The sequence below is a fragment of the Homo sapiens genome, chromosome 3 (genome assembly GCF_000001405.40).
Source record: "Homo sapiens chromosome 3, GRCh38.p14 Primary Assembly".
NCBI classification, from domain to species: domain Eukaryota; kingdom Metazoa; phylum Chordata; class Mammalia; order Primates; family Hominidae; genus Homo; species Homo sapiens.
This window is the reverse complement of record NC_000003.12, coordinates 196,883,509-196,903,612: the sequence shown is the minus strand read 5'-3', so window position 1 is coordinate 196,903,612 and position 20,104 is coordinate 196,883,509. Positions and strand designations below refer to the sequence as shown.

At 41.1% G+C, this 20,104-nt stretch overlaps 1 protein-coding gene across 6 annotated transcripts in view, besides 1 other annotated feature; it reads right to left on the bottom strand.

Moving 5' to 3' along the window:
• Window positions 1-20,104, bottom strand: part of SENP5 (SUMO specific peptidase 5) — a 66,795-nt gene that overhangs the window by 31,102 nt on the left and 15,589 nt on the right. For all 6 annotated transcript variants that reach the window (NM_152699.5, XM_005269310.4, NM_001308045.2 and 3 more), the window contains exons 2-6: window positions 16,919-18,462; window positions 3,842-3,947; window positions 3,551-3,689; window positions 3,201-3,248; window positions 3-80 (exon numbers count right to left, since the gene is read on the bottom strand). In NM_152699.5, coding sequence (NP_689912.2) covers window positions 3-80; window positions 3,201-3,248; window positions 3,551-3,689; window positions 3,842-3,947; window positions 16,919-18,431 — 1,884 coding nt within the window. In that variant the 5' untranslated portion in view covers window positions 18,432-18,462. The remainder of the gene's footprint in view (window positions 1-2; window positions 81-3,200; window positions 3,249-3,550; window positions 3,690-3,841; window positions 3,948-16,918; window positions 18,463-20,104) is intronic.
• Window positions 4,518-5,025: an enhancer, noted in NCBI's record as "OCT4-NANOG hESC enhancer chr3:196625459-196625966 (GRCh37/hg19 assembly coordinates)". NCBI's record gives its function as "activates a minimal SCP1, AML or CMV promoter by ChIP-STARR-seq in naive H9 embryonic stem cells {active_cell/tissue: H9 hESC(naive)}" and the evidence as "EXISTENCE:reporter gene assay evidence [ECO:0000049][PMID:30033119]".

The following is a 20,104-nucleotide window of genomic DNA, read 5'->3' as shown; positions in this document are numbered from 1 at the left end:
ACCTTTTTAGTCCATCTTTTTACTCCATTATATCCTTTGGTTACCAGCTGTCTATGAAAAAAGCTGTTGAAGAAGTGAACCTAGAACAGACAACAAACACAAGCAACCAGATTATATTAGGCTGTGCCCAGATTTAACTTCAAAAGAGGAAATTTTAAAATGTTTGAATGTAAAGCAGACAAAAAGGAAGGAAAAATTTCTTCATAAAAACAATGATTGAGGAGGCAAGTGGATCATCTGGGGTCAGGAGTTCGAGGCCAGCCTGGCCAACATGGTGAGACACTGTCTCTCCTAAAAATACAAAAATTAGCCGGGCGTGGTGGCACCCATCTGCAATCCCAGCTACTCAGGAGGCTGAGGTAGGAGAATCTCTTGAACCTGGGAGGCAGAGGTTGTAGTGAGCTGAGATCACATCACTGCACTCCAGCATGGGCACCAGAGCAAAACTCCGTCTCAAAAAATAATAATAATGATAATAATGATCAAAATATAGAAAATACATTACATGGTTTACAGAAAATGCTGTTCCAAAGTTTTATTGGAATGACCTTACAGCTGTGGTCTATAGTCAGCTTTGGAATGGGGCAGTAAATAGACTACCTGAATCCAATCAAGTAGAGAAGCAACCTGACAAATCTCTCTAAATCAGGTGAAAAAGCTGAAAGAGGCTATGAAAAAATGAGGTAACAATTACCTTGAACTCAAGGGAGATGGATTACAAAACTAACTCCATGTGAAGGATGTGGATTTAGAGACTCCTGTTGTTACAGTAACCATAAAAAGGCCTTGGCATGATTATTTCTAGTACCACAGAATTACCCTGGCTGTACAGAGTATCAGGTCCTGCGTCCTTGGCTTTGAATTTCTGACTTATAAGTAAGTGGTATATCAGCTCATCTTAGAGGGTAAACATATTGTGATCTTAAAGTGCTCATTCAGTAACTTGAGGTGATAAAACTGTTCCCTTAGCACTGTGGTTCTCAGAGTGTGGTCACCTGACCAGTAGTGTCAGCATCATCTAGGAACTTGTTAGAAATCCAAATTATCAGGCCTCATCCCAGACCTATTAAAGCAGAAACTCTGAAGGCAGGGCCCAGTAATCTGGTTTTATAAACCTTTCAGACGGTTCTGAGGCACATTCTTTTGATAACCATGCAGCTTAACATACAGACTGAAAGAGCTGCCAGACATAGTGGCTCACACTTCTAATCCCAGCAATTTTGAGAGGCAGAGGTGAGAGGATTACTTTAGCTAAGCCCAGAGCTCAAGCTAGCCTGGGCAACATAGCAAGACTCCTGGCTCTACCAAAAATAAAAATAAACTAGCTGGGTATAGTAGCACAGTGGCACATGCCTCTAGTCCCAGCTACCTGGGAGGCTAAGGCGAGAAGATTGCTTGAGCCCAGGAGTTCAAGGCTACAGTGAGCTATGACTGTGCCACTGCATTCCAGCCTGGAGTGTCTTTTTAGTGTCTCTAAAAAGAAGGTTATGTTTTATAATTTTAATAAAAACAAATAAATAAGAAAGAGCTTATAGTAGCTGTCTCTAGAGCAGTGATTCTCAAAATTGGTGTCCATCAGAATCATCTAGAGAGCTTGTCAAAACACAAATCGGTGGTCCCCCACCTCCAGTTTCTGATTCAGTAGGTGTGGGATGGAGTCTCAGAATGTGCATTTCTAGTAAGTTCTCAGGGGATACTGATGCTGCTAGTATGGGGACCATGCTTTGAGAACCACTGCCTTAGTTAAGTGTCCTTTTGACTCCATGAATGTTTAGAATTAAATGTACAATGGTGGTAAATGAAACCCTTGAAATTAATACTTTTATGTTAAAGATAATCTATATTGTTTAAACTTTCTGATGATTAAGAGAATTTGACAATAGAGCATCTAGCAGATTAGCCTCATGATTCCAATTTATAAATGTATAACAGATTTATAATTTAAGTGGAAAGTCATAAAACATTTTCTATATTCATAAACGGTATCAGAATCTGACTTTTTAGTATTTATGTTACTTTATTAGATTGGTAAGTTTTATACAGCACTTGGAAATTTTTGCACCCATCAGGCATTTGTGTACTCAGAAAAATACATTAAGTAAAAAAATAGTTTTGATATGTAACAAAACTCTTAAGAGAATTTAGAGTTTATGAGGGTTCAATCTGTATTTGAACTGAGTATCAAAGATTTATCTAAGGAAAAATGAAAGATGAGTTTTTTTTTACATTTTTAAAGAGAGCAAGATTTTAAGTTAAATGTAAAAAGCTGGCCTGGCATGGTGGCTCACATCTTTAATCCCAGCACTTTGGGAGGGGGAGGTGGGCGGATCACCAGAGGTCAGGAGTTCGAGACCAGCCTGCCCAACATGGTAAGACCTGTCTCTCCTAAAAATACAAAAATTAGCCAGGCATGGTGGCACACACCTGTAATCCCAGCTACTTGGGAGGCTAAGGCAGGAGAATTGCTTGAACCCAGGAGGTGGAGGTTGCAGTGAGCCAAGACCACGCCACTACACTCCAGTCTGGATGACAGAGCAAGACTCGGTCTCAAAAAAAAAAAAAAGTAAAATAAATACATAAATGTAAAAAGCTTAGCCAGTCCCTTTTGCACATCTCCCCACCAAAAAAAGGCCCTCTCCAGATATCAACAAACATACCTACCCTAACACAAATAAATAGGAAAACAATTGCACAGTGATTTTCTTATGCTGAAGTGATTTGATGGGGCCAGGCGCTGTGGCTCACACCTGTAATCCCAGCACTTTGGGAGACCAAGGCAGAGGTGGATCACCTGAGGTCAGGAGTTCGAGACCAGCCTGACCAATATGATGAAACCCTGTCTCTACTAAAAATACAAAAATTAGCCAGGCATGGTGGCACATGCCTATAATCCCAGCTAGTCGGGAGGCTGAGACAGGAGAATCGCTTGAACCCGGGAGGTGGAGGTTGCAATGAGCCGAGATCACGCCACTGCACTCCAGCCTGGGCAACAAGAGCAAAACTCCATCTCAAAAAGAACAAAAAGAAGTGATTTGATGGAACTTACGATCAAGCCCAGTACATGATCAAGAAAAAATTGAACTCTTCTTTTAAAAAATTTAAGGAATGTCAGATAATTACATCAAATGTAAAAACAAAAAAACTACTCATTTTAATACACAAGAACACTCTCTCCTGCAGAAGAGGAAGTTTTCACTTACTTTGTCTGGGACTGCATCCATTATCAGCTCACCATACATATTAATGACCTATAAAAAGTCAACATAAAACCAGCTTACTATCTCTGCCAGTTAAGTTGGAGAAAGAAAAACAAAATAAATAAATAAAACCAGGCTACTAACCCTATACAATTCAGTACATCCCAATCAGAATAAATAATATATTATTACTGCCAATAGTAATCAAACCGTTTGGATCCTGGGGCAAGTAACCAGTAAAGAATGAAGAATCCTTATTCCAAAAGACAACTGAGAAGCCAAACTAGAGATTATATTTTATTGACTAACATCCTCTGCAACTTCTCCACACTGAAAAACTACAATATACTAACCTGGTCATTCAGCCAGTTCTGACCATCCAGAGTCGCCAGGTCGTCCATATCCAGCATGTGTTTATTATAGAAGATACGGAAGTTACATTTTTGATGTCTGGCCCGATAGTTTGTTATTTCCCTATTGATAAATGGTTTTCTGAAAGAGAAAGATTTTGAAACAAAAGGTAAAAAAAACATGAGTACTTCTCAATTTACTGCTAAATATCTTTTCTTCTGTAAATCAAGAGAAAAGTCATATATGCCAAAAATTTTATTTTCAAGGGCTTAACTTTAGCATCATTTATATACCTATTAGAAAAGTCTTCATTAAAGACATCTTTTAATCTTCCAAGGACTTCTTTTTCACTGAGTGGAACCAAACTGCCATACTTCTTCATAACCTCATCTAGGAATCCTTAAATAAAGGAAGAAAGAAAAGTTAAGATGGAAAAACAAGCCATTTTCAGTAGAGTCATTCTCCAAACACTTAACCTATACACAGCACTTAACACATACAGTGGTTAACCTATATTACTATATAATATTGATACTATATTTTTAAAGTTATGTCTTTTGTAAAAAATAAAATATATTAGGCTCTAACCAATGCAATCTAGAGAGACATACTGTGAGGAATCATTTCACATTAGATTTTTAAGTTACTGAAGCATTGTTAGAGAAGGAATGGATAGCTAGAAGGAAATACTAACAGCTTCCCACAGCTTAACCTTCTCTTAAAGCGTGACTTCTAAAGGGCTTAATCACATAGTCAAATGTGCCTATCCTTTTGGTAACTGAAAGAATTATTATTTTAAAATCACAATTAGCATTAACTGATGAGATCACTGTGACTCTATTATTTGGTAAAGGTATGTACTTTAGTATCAGCAAGGGACAATATCATACATCTTGATAAGTTATTATACTCATGACACCAAATAACGCTGTGAGGTGAGCTCAACTGGATAACAGCTAGTGAGGCACTTTTTTTTTTTTTTTTTTGAGATGGCGTCTCGCTCTGTTGCCCAGGCTGGAGTGCAGTGGCACGATCTCTGCTCACTACAAGCTCCACCTCCCGGGTTCACGCCATTCTCCTGCCTCATCCTCCCAAATAGCTGTGACTACAGGCGCCTGCCACCACGCCCGGCTAATTTTTTTGTATTTTTAGTAGAGACGAATGGAATCATCATCAAATGGAATCTAATGGAATCATTGAACGGAATTGAATGGAATCGTCATCGAATGAATTGAATGCAATCATCGAATGGTCTCGAATGGAATCATCTTCCAATGGAATGGAATGGAATCATCGCATAGAATCGAATGGAACTATCATCGAGGGGTTTCACCGTGTTAGCCAGGGTGGTCTTGATCTCCTGACCTTGTGATCCGCCCGCCTCGGCCTCAGAAAGTGCTGGGATTACAGGCGTGAGCCACCACACCCAGCTAGTGAAGCACATTTTAAGACAGTAAATAGAATTTTTTGGAGATGGGGTCTCTTTCTATCATCCCAGCTGGGGCATAGTAACACAATCATAGCTCACTACAGCCTCAAACTCCTGGGCTCAAGCCATCCTCCTGCTTGGATAGTTAGCTGGGACTATAGGCAAGTGAAACCACACCCAGCTAATTTTTTAATTTTTTTTTTTTAAGATGAGGGTCTTGCTATGTTGCTCAGGCTGGTCTTGAACTTCTGGCCTCAAGTGATCCTTTCGCTCCAGCCTCCCAAGATGAGAAATAAAATTTAAAGGTGGCTTTTTGGCCACACCATAGGACAGTCTTCAGGTAAATGTAAGTAACATGTATATGTGCTTATATATATCCCTGAATGATCCACTGAACCTAGAAAAGCCCCAGGAAATAAACCCAGGACGTTCTTTCTTTTCTTTTTTCTTTTTTTTTAAGACAAAGCCTTGCTCTTTTCACCCAGGCTGGAGTGCAATGGTGCGATTTCGGCTCACTGCAACCCACCCCTCCTGGGTTCAAGTGATTCTCCTACCTCAGCCTCGTGAGTAGCTGGGATTACAGGCGCCCGCCACCACGCCCAGCTAATTTTTGTATTTTTTTTTTTTGTAGAGACGGGGTTTCACCATGTTGGCCAGGCTGGTCTCGAACTCCTGACCTCAGGTGATCCACCTGCCTTGTCTTCCCAAAGTACTGAGATTACAGGTGTGAGCCACCGCGCCTGGCCACCCAGGACATTATTTCTAAGTAAATACAAAAAAGCTGAGGCAAGGCTTAGACGCTCACAGAAGTACAGACATGACTTAGGTTGTTCACCAATGCTGAATGGGCAGAGCAACAAATTAGCTAACCATCAGTCTGACGGTTAAGTCTGCTGAGTTAAGACAGGAAAAATGAGGATTGTTAGCCACATATCTTAACCAGCTCCCTTTGTAACTCCAAGAATGGCCTCTGCCATGCATTGATATAAACAGGATAGAAAAGATGATAAGAGTGTCTTGGGAATGAAGTGTTTTGTCTTTTATGAGGGGAGAGACAGACAAAGAAGTGAACAATTTATTTTTCCTCCTGTTAATCTCCCACCAGAGTACCTCTCAATTTTCAAGGCTTAACATAGGAGCAAAGGTCAGGGTACAGTAAACAGAAAAGAGGTCCTTTCTCACGTCCATTCTGCTCTAGGCTTTGGGCAAATACAGTAGACAGGAAGATAGTCCCATGCTCCAACTTCATCAGGGTATCAGATAAAGATTTGGGGCTTCTAATCTAGGAACAGACCATATACTTGCCTCTAGTGTTTACTATTTCACATCTTACAGTTACCTAATCATAACCTTGTGTCTACATGGGGGAATGGGCCCAGTGGAAGATAAGGAATCCCACCATTTGAGAAACTGCATTGAGAATTATTTTTCGTTGTAAAATAATACCCCTAACAACAATAAAAATTAAACTTTAGGCCCCACAACTTTGATTGAGGCTCCTCAAATAAGAAGGCAGTGTCCCCCACAATGGGATATGGATGTGAATTTCAAACTAGTATCATGGTGCTCTTGTTAACAATGTTATTTCTGGTGGTAGAATGATGGAGATTCTAAATTATTACACATTTTCCTCTTATCTGTATCTTTATTTTCATTTTCAGATGATAAACATGGATTTCTTATTCGGTAGAAATGCCCTTCAAGGTACGATCTTCAAGGAGAACCCTAGATGACAGTGTCTCACTTACACACACCATTATCTCACTGGGACCAGAAGTAAAACAACAGTTAAAAAATACTCATAAGACAAGCACTAGCCTGTCTCATTTAGTTCTTATAGCCTCCCTGGGTGTTAAGATAGTATCCCTACTTTACAAATAGAGACACTGGGCCAGGTGCGGTGGCTCATGCCTGTAATCCCAGCACTTTGGAAGGCGGGTGGATCACCTGAGGTCAAGAATTCAAGACCAGCCTGGCCAACATGGTGAAACCCTGTCTATGCTAAAACTACAAAAATTAGCCGGGCATGTTAGCGTGCCTGTAATCTCAGCTACTTGGGAGACTGAGGCAGGAAAATCGCTTGAACCTGGGAGGCAGAGGCTGTAGTGAGCCGAGATTATGCCACTGCACTCCAGTCTGGGCAACAGAGCGAGACCTCATCTCAATCAATCAATCAATCAACCAGTCAATCAAATGGAGACATTAGAAGCTTTGAGAGGTTGTTACCTCCCCAAGGGCACTTAACTAGCATATGGTAGAACTAAGATCCTGATTGTAGGTACCGTGACTACAGAAACTGGGCTGTTAACTATCATGTCATGCCACTTACAAAGCAAGAAATATCTGTTATCTTTTCTCTACAAAAACAACTTGGTTCTTCACCTTTCCTTTTTAATATCTGTGGGCCAAGAACTATCCAGAAACAGATTTTATAAAATGACAGTTAAATCCACCATTCTTTATCCACTTGCTTTCATTAAACTAATCAATTAAAAAAGGAAAAATGCACTTGGTATATACAATTTATTTTACTCAGAAACAGATTTTATAAAATGACAGTTAAATCCACCATTCTTTACCCACTTGCTTTCACTAAACTGATCAACTAAAAAAGGAAAAATGCAATTGGTATACACAATTTATTTTACTCCCAAAGTACTAAAATTTCAAAGTGACCCAAGAAACAAAGGATAAAATGTTAGGAATAAACAACAAACAAAAACTGGAGTTCAAATTACAGAGCACTCTGCAAGTACAAAAGGTAGTAATATAAAAAACAAAACCTGAGGTGTCATTTTAGAATTTAAAGTACCCGGCCAGGCACGGTGGCTCATGCCTGTAATCCTAACACTTTGGGAGGCTGAGACAGAAGGATTGCTTAAGCTCAGAAGTTCAAGACCAGTCTGGGCAACAAAGTGAGACCGCTTCTCTACAAAAAATACAAAAATTAGCCAAGCATGTTGGCACATGCCTGTAGTCCCAGCTACTCGGGAGGGTGAGGTGGGAGGATGGGTTGAGCCTGGGAGGCAAAGACTGCAGTGAGCCAAGATCCCACCACGGCACTCCAACTTGGGCAACAGAACGAGACCCTGCCTCAAAAATAACTGAAAAAATAAAAAAGAACTTTTTAAAAAAAAGAAGTTAAAGTAAGGCCGGGCGCGGTGGCTTACGCCTGTAATCCCAGCACTTTGGGAAGCCGAAGCGGGTGGATCACGAGGTCAGGAGATCGAGACCATCCTGGCTAACATGGTGGAACCCTGTCTCTACTAAAAAATACAAAAAATTAGCCGGGCATGGTGGCGGGCGCCTGTAGTCCCAGCTACTCGGGAGGCAGGAGAATGGCGTGAACATGGGAGGCGGAGCTTGCAGCGAGCTGAGATTATGCCACTGCACTCCAGCCTGGGTGACAGAGTAAGACTCCGTCTCAAAAAAAAAAAAAAAAAAAGAAGTTAAAAGTAGCCATCATGTTAAACTAACGGCACTGGACAGTTTTCGTTTGATGCAACTGACCTGGGTCACATTCCACCCTGGATGTGGAATGAGGTTCCCCGTGCTGTGCACGTAAGAAATGCAAGCACATGGTTCTCCAACAAAACACAGTGCATACCTCAGAACGGGCCCATCAGCAGTAAGGAAGGTATACAGTATCTAAGAACAAACATAAGCAATGCGCAAAACCTAAGTGAAAAGATGCGAAATATGACTAAGGGACAGGAAGTCTTTTGCAATGAAAGCAACTGTCCCTAAATTAATCTATAAATATAATGCAACAACAAGTAAAAACCATACTTTTTTAAAAGATTACAAAATAAATCCAAAATTTACCTTGGGACAAAAATGTGAGAAATTCCTAGAAATTTTTGAAAAGAATTAAAGGAGAGAGGTGAATAAGGAGCGCCAGGTCCTGTCAAATGATAAAACTACGCTAATTAAGGCAAATAGAGCCAGCATGGAATAGAGATCAAATCCAAAGAGACTCTGTGGTAGGTTGCATTTCTGAACCACAGGGAAAAGAGCAAATCACTCAATAAACAGTATTAGAACTACCAACTAATTTCATTGGTTCCCAGACCCATGGGAATAAATTTAAAAAAAAAAAAAGAACTCGCAACTAAATATTTTATTAACAGCTGGAATTCATTTTGGTGTAAAGAATGAGGTAAGGATCTACCTTAACTTTTTTCCAAAGCACTAAATTAAAAATAACACATTAGGCCGGGGGCAGTAGCTCACATTTGTAATCCCAGCACTTTGGGAGGATAAGGCGGGCGGATCACCTGAGTTTGGGAGTTTGAGACAAGCCTGACCAACATGGAGAAACCCTGTCTCTACTAAAAATACAAAATTAGCCGGGCGTGGTGGCGGGCACCTGTCATCCCAACTAATCGGGAGGCTGAGGCAGGAAAATTGCTTGAACCCAGGAAGTGGAGGCCACCGTGAGCCGAGATCACGCCACTGCACTCCAGCCTGGGCAACAAGATCAAAACTCTGTCTCCAGAAAAAAAAAAAAAAAAAAAAACCACATTAATATCTAGAAAAAAAGAGTTGGACATTTTTATAAACATTTACTTTATATGTGGAAACAACCTTTTAAGTAGTTATTTTTTCTCATACACGACCATAAATATTTTTAAATAAATGGCAGTGAGCCCATAATTCCTTCTGGACTTTCAAGCCCTTTGAACATGTATTTCTTAAACACACTAAATTTTTTTTTTTTTTTTTTGAGACAGAGTCTCACTCTGTCACCCAGGCTGGAGTGCAGTGGTGCGATCTCAACTCACTGCAACCTCCAACTCACAAGTACAAGCAATTCTCCTGTCTCAGCCTCCCAAGTAGCTGGGACTACAGGCGCATGCCACCATGCCTGGCTAATTTTTGTATTTTTAGTAGAGACGGAGTTTCACCATATTGGTCAGGCTAGTCTTGAACTCCTGACCTCAGGTGATCCACCCACCTCGGCCTCCCAAAGTGCTGGGATTACAGGCATGAGCCACCGCGCCCGGCCTAAACTTACTCTTCTTGAAGCTGCTTTTTTCCATTCACTATATCATGGACAGTTCTCTTTTGCCTGAAAAAATGCATACTGTATTGTAACCAATTCCCTACTGATGGCCATTTATTTTTACCTCTAAATAATGTAACAATTAAAACTCTTGATCTATCCTAGTTCTACTGTTTCCCTTGGACACACCTACTACAAGTTAAATTTCTGGGTAAAAGGGCATGCATATCTAAATTTTTAAATTTTCATCTAACTTTTGCTATACACACACACATGCACACAAGATTTAAATGTCTGTAGAGTCAATTTGGTATATTTTCATTGCTTCTGAGCTTCCTATTATGGGCAAAAATGTCTTATCAATATAAGATTATAAAAATGGTCTCCTGCTCAAACAACGAATAGCAAGAACATAACCCAATTTAAAAAGCAGGCAAAGGACTTGAATGTGGAGAAAGGGGAACCCTGTACACTGTTGGTGGGAATGTGAATTAGCACAGCCATGAAGGAAAACAGTATACAGGTTCCTCAAAAAATTAAAAATAGAACTACCATATGATCCAGCAATTCCATTTCTGAGTGTATTTCAAAGACAATAAAATCAGTGTGTTGAAGAGGTACCTGCACCCCATACTCACTGCGGCACTATCCACAATAGCCAAGACATGGCATCAACCTCAATGCCCATGAGTGGATGAATGGAGAAAGAAAATGTAGTATATATACACAATGGAATACAATTCAGCCTTAAAACATCCTGTCATCTGCAACATGGATGAATCTGGAGCATAATATGTGAAATATGCCAGACACAAAAAAATATACTGCATGATCTCACTTACATGTGGAATCTAAAGTCAAACTCATAGACGTAGAGAATCAACGGTAGTTACCAGGGGCTGGGGGTGGGGCAGAGAATTGGAAGATGTTGGTCAAGGGTCATAAAGCTTCCGTTAGACAGGAGGAAGTGGTCCTAGAGATCTATTGTACAGTCTGGTGACTATAGTTAATAATAATGTACTGTGTCTTGAAAATAGATGAGAATTGATTTTAAATGTTCTCACGACGAAGTGAGTGATGGATATGCTGATTATCTTGATTTACTTCACAAAGTAAACATATATCAAAACATCACATTGTACCCCATAAATATATAGAATTTTGTCAATTAAAAATAATCTTTAGGTCAGGCACAGTGGCTCATGCCTGTAATCCCAGCACTTTGGGAGGCTAAGCCGGGCGGATCACTTGAGGTGAGGAGTTCAAGACCAGCCTGGCCAACATGGTGAAACCCCATCTCTACTAAAAATACAAAAAATTAGCCAGGCATATAGTGGCGCACCTCTGTGGTCCTGGCTACTCCAGAGGCTGAGGCACGAGAATCGCTTGAACCCGGGAGGCGGAGTTTGCAGTGAGCTGAGATCACGCCTCTGCACTCTAGCCTGGGAGACAGAGGGAGACTCTGTCACAAACAAAGAAACCAAAAACTTAAAAAGAATGATTTCCTGTATTTTTTTTTTCTTTTTTTAAGAGTCAAGGTCGGCCGGGCGCGGTGACTCACGCCTGTAATCCCAGCACTTTGGGAGGCTGAGGCAGGTGGATCATGAGGTCAGGAGATTGAGACCATCCTGGCTAACACAGTGAAACCCCGTCTCTACTAAAAATACAAAAAATTAGCCGGGCGTGGTGGCACATGCCTATAGTCCCAGCTACTCCGGAGGCTGAGGCAGGAGAATCGCTTGAACCCAGAAGGCAGAGGTTGCAGTAAGCAAAGATCACGCCACTGCACTCCAGCCTGGGAGAAAGAGTGAGACTCCGTCTCAAAAAAAAGAGAGAGACAAGGTCTTGCTGTCACCCAGCGTGGAATGCAGTCGAGCTACCATAGCTCACTTCAACCTCAAACTCCTGGCTTCAAGCAGTCCTCCCACCTCATCCATCTGAGGAGCTGGGACTACAGGCATGCACCACCACATGCAGATAATTTTATTTTTTGTAGCAATAGAGTCTCGCTAAATCTATATACATCCCTCTATGTATTTATATCGCTATGTTGCCCAGGCTGGTCTCAAACTCCTGCCCTCAAGCGATCCTTCTGCCTCAGCCTCCTAAAGTGCTGGGATTACAGATGTGAGCCACCATGGCCGGCCTATATTTGTTTCTTTTTAACAGCTTTATTGAGATGTGATTCACACACCACAAAATTTGCCCCATTAAAGAACACAATTCACTGTTTTTTAATATATTCAGATTGTGTAACTATCACTACTACCTAATTCCAGAACACCTCCATTACCCCACAAAGAAACTCTATACCCATTAACAGTCACCTCTCATTCCCCTTCTTCCCAGCTCCTGGCAACTATTAATCTACTTTATATCTCTATGTATTTGCCTATTCTGGACATTTCAAATGAACGAAATCATATGTTATAAGGCCTTTTGTGTCTGGCTTTTCACTTAGCATGCTTCCAAGGTGCATCCACATTTAAGTATATATCGGTGTTTATTCCTTTTATAGAATAATATTCCATTGTATAGATATACCAAATTTTATTTATCCATTCATCAGGTGTTGAACATTTAGGTTGTTTTCACTTTCTGGATATTATGAACAATGCTGTTACAAGCATTCGTGTACACATTTCTGTGTATTTGGTTTTAATTAGCCAAACTTTTAATCCATCTGGAATGTTTTGCGGCACAGGAATCTATCCCTTTTCCCTCCAAAAGAAGTAACCATCCAAGTTATTTCTCTTGGATGTGCTATAATTTTACTACACTAAATTTAGTGTGAGTTTGTGTATGTATTTGTGTGTTTTAATCCTGATTGGCACTTGCAAAGCCTTTCAACTTTAGACTCAGACCTTTCTTTTCAGTTCTAGAAAACATTCCTAATTTCTTCAGTTTCCCTTCCATTATCTCCTGGCATACTCATGACATAGAGGTTAGAACTTTAAAGCGAAGCAAGAACTTAAAGAACTTGCAAAGTAATCTCAGTGCAGAGTCCTAGACTTTCACGCACGCCCTCAAATCTTTTGCAGCTGTCCTGCATGAGCGCATCAGCATTCATTTTTTTGCAGCAACCCGCTACTGTCATTGCAAAGTATTCACCTTGTTTTTCAAAGGAGGAGCTTTCTTCTTACACTCATATTTCATCATTTTATGTAATACTGAATAAAATTATGAAACTGCAACAAGTAAATCTCCCCTAAGTATAACTGACTCTTAAACATGTAAATCAACTGAAAGGAGCATAATGTGCAGTCATATTAGAGACAAGCCAGCATTCAGCACCCCACAGAACTCAATAGTGGCTAATGTTGTAGAAGTCCCTTAAAGGATTATCTATTGTACTCATTGCCCCATTAATCAATACTGAGGTTTAGTTCTGTTATTTGCTGAATTTGTCTATTTCATTGTGTTGGCTTTTCTCAGAGGATGGTGATAGACTGTTAGTTCATCTCTACTTAGGTAACTTGCTGAGAATTGAGGGCAAAGGGCTATAATGGGCAGTAGCTGCTGCTCTGCCTTGAACTATTTTCAGTGGGAATAAGGACACTAAGAACCCCAGCAGCTGTTCTGAAAATGGATGTTCCTCACTCTTGCCAAGTGTTACAAGGTGTACGTGTGTGGGTGAGTATCCTGTCTCTTGTCCTTAGAATTTTGGCTTGATAACAGATTTGTTCTTTGCTGACATGTGGCACAGGCAGGGAGAGATTCCCCAACTACTCAGTCCTTACCATGGGTGTCCCCTTTCCTCTCCACTTCCACCATCTCCAGAAATATGAGCACTCAGTATCACACCACTTCCCTGTACTAATCTTCCTTCTGCCCGCCTGGACCTTCCCTCTACTTTTTGCCCAGTGGGAGCTGATTCTCAGTTTCTGATCTACCAAAACTGTCTCCTCATTTGTGAGTATGAAGACACATGTGTTTTTAATATTTTTTCATAATTTCTATGGATTTGGTAGGAGGAAGAAGAGAGTCCATGAGCTTACTTCATTCTCTTAAACCTGAAACTGCTATTGGCTTCTGATTGATATTCTTTAGTAATTCAAGGAAGCTTCCTTTATTACTAGTTTTCTAAGAGATTTAAACCCAAAAGGAAACAATTTTACTAACAGGTTTTTCAGCACTTGCTGAGATACCATTTTTTTCCCCTTTGGCCTATTAAAATAGTGAATTATATTGTCACTACACATGAATTCTGTAAGAATTCCTACTTCCTCAGGTCATGCTACAGGTTTTACTACGTGCATATTCAATTTATCAACCGTACTTGAAAGTGTTACATCTATAAAGGTTAACTGGCATTTGTGGGTAAATGCTAATTCTTTTCAGGTGTAAGTATCATGGGTCTGCTAACCTCAGTAGGGAAATCTGGCTTTACTCTAGGACAGTATAGACAAGAGGTTTTTTGGTGTTGTTTTTTTTTTTAATTTGCTAGGACTCTGTACTTTGTGTCTTTCTATGAGGAAGAATTTATTTACTAATTTATTTATTTTTATTTTTTTTGAGACAGAGTCTTGCTCTGTCGCCCAGGCTGGAGTGCAGTGGCACGATCTCAGCTCAATGCAAGCTCCGCCTCCCCCGTTCACACCATTCTCCTGTCTTGGCCTCCCAAGTAGTGGGGACTACAGGCGCCTGCCACCACGCCCGGCTAATTTTTTAAATTTTTAGTAGGGACGGGGTTTCACCATGTTAGCCAGGATGGTCTCGATCTCCTGACCTCATGATCCGCCCGCCTCGGCCTCCCAAAGTGCTGGGATAACAGGCATGAGCCACCGTGCCCAGCCAGAAGAATTTATTATACTTAATGGTTGGAAAGAGAAAGTGCTCAGAACTGTTTCAACTACCAAGAAATAAACCTCCTAACTAGCTCCCCAAAGCCAATGGTAATAATATCTGTCCAGATGTCCTATACAAATGCATATGCACACATATATACTCACACTCATCCTACATATGTCATATATATCTTTTAACAAAATGGTTTCATACCATTTTGCAACTTACTGTTTTCACTTTTTTTCTTTCTTTTTTTTTTGTGAGAGAGTCTCGCTCTGTCGCCCAGGCTGGAGCACGGTGGCATAACCTAAGCTCACTGCAACCTCCGCCTCCCAGGTTCAAGCGATTCTCCCTGCCTCAGCCTCCTAAGTAGCTGGGATCACAGACACGCACCACAACACCTGGCTGATTTTTGTATTTTTAGTAGAGATGGGGTTTCACCATGTTGATCAGCCTCGTCTTGAACTCCTGACCTCAGGTGATCCGCCCACCTCGGCCTCCCAAAGTGTTGGGATTACAGGCGTGAGCCACAGCACCTGGCCTGTTTTCACTTTATATAGACATCTTTCAGTATCAAAATATAGATCTATATTCTTAAACAGCTGCTAGCAAACTATTGCCTGAATGGGCCATAATTTATACTATCATATTGTCTTCCAAAGAAATGTTTACACCAGTTTACCTTATGGGATAGATTTTTGACAAGAGAAGGCTTCTTAAAGCATGACGTAAAAACTAGAAGCCTCAAAGTCAAATATAGGTAAGCTTTAGGCCAGGCGCAGTGGCTCATGCCTGTAATCCTAGCACTTTAGGCAGACTGGCCGAGGCGGGCAGATTGCCTGAGCTCAGGAGTTCGAGACCAGCCTGGGCAACATGGTGAAACACTGTCTCTACTAAAATACAAAAAATTAGCCGGGCATGGTAGCGTGTGCCTGTAGTCTCAGCTACTTGGGAGGCTGAGGCAGGAGAACTGCTTGAACCGGGAAGCAGAGGTTGCAGTGAGCCGAGATTGCGTCACTGCACTCCAGCCTGGGTGACAGAGCAAGACTCCATCTCCAAAAAATAAAAAATAAAAAAAGACAGATAAGTTTTACTATGTAAGAACTGAAAACTCCTATTAAGCAAAAATATCAAACAATTTTGGGGTACTGAAGGCTTTTACCTTTCGTGAGGGACCATTCTTATGACATTTATAATCAGCAATTAAACATTTTTATGACTAGAATGACACCAAGTTCCCTGAAGGTCATATATTCTGTTCATTGCTACATTCTTAGGAACCAGCACAGTGCCTGGTACATTGAGCGTCTCCTATATTAAAAAAAAAAAAACAGAAACAATCCAGTTGAAAAATAGGCAAAGGGGCAGGGCACGGTGTCTCACGCCTGTAATCCCAGCATTTTGGGAGGCCAAGGTGGGTGGATCACGTGAGGTCAGGAGGTCGAGACCAGCCTGGCCAACATGGTGAAACCCCATCTCTACTAAAAATACAAAAATTAGCCAGGCATGGTGGCGGGTGCCTGTAATCCCAACTACTCGGGGGGTTGAGACAGGAGAATCACTTGAACCCAGGAGGTGGAGGTTGTGGTGAGCCAAGATCTCACCATTGCACTCCAGCCTGGCGACAGAGTAAGACTCCATCTCAAAAAAAAGAAAAATAGGCAAAGGAAAACCATGCACATACAAAAAAGTGGCCAATAAACACAGAAACAGATGTTCAAACTTAAAACTCAAAAATGCAAATTAAAACAAAACTCTGTGATCTGTAAGACTGCCAAAGCTTAACAAATGTAAACTGGTTCAACTTTTTGGAGGGTAACTTAATTATCTTAAAATTTTAAGTGTGAATATTCCTTCACCATCAATTCTAATAATGAGAATTTAGCTTACAGAAACAAATGTATAAATGTAAAGACATAATTTCATCGCACTATTAGCTTATGAAAAAAATGGAATCAATGCAAGTGTCTACAAGGATTAAATGATGGAACATCTACATAATGCAGCAATATAAAAGGCTTCAAGCAGACTAACTGGTTTAAAGAAATATTCATGAGTGGGAGAAAAAAATAGGACTCTTATTAGCAAGGATAATGCACAGCAAATGTGAGCTTGGAGTTTGAGGGAGAATAAAGGAAAAGTGCATACCAGAAAGACAGACTGACAGCTGTTCATCATCCACTGGAGAGGCTTTCTGACTGTTCTTTCCACCTCCTACTTGATTTTCTAGTTTGAGTCCACTGCACACCAAGGGAGCCTCCAGTGGACTTTTACAGTAAGGGTGGTCCAGCAACTCAGAACTAAGAATGCTCTGCTTGAGAGATCCATCCTCCTCCATCTGGTATGAGTTCTCATTTTGAACAGCCTTTTGGGACACAGGCCCATCTACGCTACTCACAGATGTATCTGCTCCAGACACTGACAGTTTTACTCTGTCATCACTGACAGAACTTGTCTGATTTTCCTGACCCAGAGTCATAATTTCTCTTTCAGTTTCTGAAATGAACATGGTATTAGAACGATGTTCTGGTAAGGGGATGTCATGAATCAGCTCTGTACACTCCCACTTAGGAGAAGAACAGGATGACTGGTCCCAGGCGTTTGTGGCACTGCCATTCTGTTGGTCAGGGAATGCTTCGTCTAAACTAAGCTCCTTGCCCAAGAAAGAGCTTCCTTTAGTGTGGCAATCAGGCACATGAGAGTTCGTCCCCTTCACCACAGCACTGCTGTCCATATCTGGAAAGTACGGCTGATGCCGACAAGAAGGGTCTTTAGGTTCTGGGGAAGGAAATGGGCTGCAACTGCCACCCTCACCGTTCTCCCTACGGGTCTCTTGATGGTCCCCAGTGACTTTCTGTACCCAGCTTCGCTGGGCTTTTCTTAGCTTGCAAACCTTGCTTTTGGTTCTGAAGTGCTGGGATCTGAGAATCCTGTACCGAAATCTAATCATGGATAATTTCTCATACATCATAAGAGGAGATAATTTTATCCTTCTATGTTGGTTAAGTTGGAACTTTTTTGGAATCAAGGGTCCCCCATTCCTGTGGTGCTCCGGCCCTTGGCAGCAGCCGTAACAAAAGCCCTTTCTCTTATGGTTGTTCAAGGTGACCACAATCGTGCCACTCTCACCTGGACTTTGGCTCTCCCCATTGAACTTCATGGGAAAGTCAGAAGGTTGTGGGTCTGTCCTAGGTCTGTGACCATTGGCCTGACCTAAAGCACTATTTGATGGAAAGTCAGTAACTGCCTTCAAGAGATTTTTCTCTCTGCAGTATTCATGGTCAGAATTCTTTGCTGATGACAACAGCTTCTCTGCTTGGAGTCTCAGGAGAGTCTTTGAGGAGGAAATGAAGTGTTTAGCGTCCTTTCTTTTCACTTTAGAGGACAAAGTACTAACATTTTGAGTAGCCACATTGAACTTGGTCTTAGCACAAAGGGGTTCATCCTTGATCCACGTTTTCTGGATTTGAAGAGCTTTCTTTCTACCCTGGAAATGTCTCAACTGTCTATTCCAAGTAACTGGCCTTCCCAGCTTAGCTTTCAGAATGCACAAGTGTTGGTGAAAATAAAACTTCTTAAAGCCTCCAAACCCAGTATTCCATTTCTCAGAAAAGGCTAAGTGGATTCCTTTCCTCCATAGAATTTTCCTCTGTTTTTTCATTTTTCTGATGCATAATGAGATCTGGATGCAGCTGTAAAGAAGAGAAGTAAGTTATATTTCTATCTAAAAATAAGGTCATGAAGACATATTCACAGTAACTAAGGCAGAAAATTGAGAAAAAAAAAGAGTACATATACTTCAATTTAGACTATTGGACACAATGAAATCTTATCTGACCAAGGTTTTCATCACAATGAAAACTGGAGAGGAGGGAGGACATGAGTAGTCTAACAAAAAGCCATTTGCTGTACACCTGCCTCTGAGAAAAATAAACTTAAGAATCATTTTCGACCAGGCGCAGTGGCTCACACCTGCAATCCCAGCACTCTGGGAAGCCAAGGTGCAAGGATTGCTTGTAATCCTCACACCTGACACCAGCTCCTGGTGAGGCTGAGGCAGGAGAATTGCTTGAACCTGGGAGGTGGAGGTTGCACTGAGCCAAAAATCGCGCCACTGCACTCCAGCCTGGGTGACAAGAGCGAAACTCCATCTCAAAAAAAAAAAAAACAAAAAAAAACTGATTTCTGTAACCTCAGTGTGATTTGGAGAGGGAACTGAGGTAAACATGTGTTCAGTCCTCCATTTTTTTCCCCAGAGAAAACTTATACACAGAAAGGTAATACAGCACTTCTGAGTAAACTGTTGTCAAGCTGAAATTAGAATATTGGCTTCTGTTTCATAGTCTTTCTTCCACTCTACCTGCAGTGACTGGTGCCTTTCTTTCTAGACTAAAGAGCCTTCGCTAATATTAGATTTTATTAAATCCTGAGGGGAAGTTATTGTTTGGATTTGACTGTCATTCATTTCCATCTACTTCTAGAGTGTGTTCCTGCAGTATATGTGTGTATGCTTGTGTTGGTTCTTTTTTCTTATATTCACTTGAGATCCAGAACCATCACTGGGTGAGAGCATTTGATAAAGTCCTGTCCTTGCATGGCTACCCAGAGTCTTTGACTGGTAACAGAGGAGCGTGGCTTCCCTCTTGAGATGCTGACCTCACATGTATTTACTAAATATCTACTGGTGCATGACTATACAGAACAAAAGTACCTGCTCTTTTAAAAATCTGCTGTATGAAACTAATTATTTTGCTATGAGCAAATTATAATTAAGTCAATATGGAATCAGTCTTAAGTGGTATTTGGTCTCCTCTCCCTTCCCCGTCCTTCATTTTACACATGAGAACACAGGGCCAGGTGTGGTGGCCCATGCCTGTAATCCCAGCACTTTGGGAAGCCGAAGCAGATGGATTACCTGAGGTCAGGAGTTCGAGACCAGACTGGCCAACATGGTGAAACCCCGTCTCTACTAAAAATACAAAAATAATTAGCCAGGCATGATGATGAGTGCCTGTAATCTCAGCTACTTGGGAGGCTGAGGCAGAAGAATTGCTTGAACCTGGGAGGTGGAGGTTGCAGTGAGCCAAGATTGCGCCACTGCACTCCAGCCTGGGAGACAAGAGTGAAGCTCTGTCTCCAAAAAAAAAAGCAGCAGCTATAGGACCTCAGAAAGCAGAAAGGCTCAGAAGCAGAGGCAACATATACCTATGAAAGTCAGGAGTATGGGTGGTGTTGAAAAGGAAACGCTGGCTCAAAGTCTGAATAAGAAGCAGTGAAACTCCTAGATACCATCTCCTACCGTGGCAGATGATGAAAGTTTCACTTTCTGAGGAG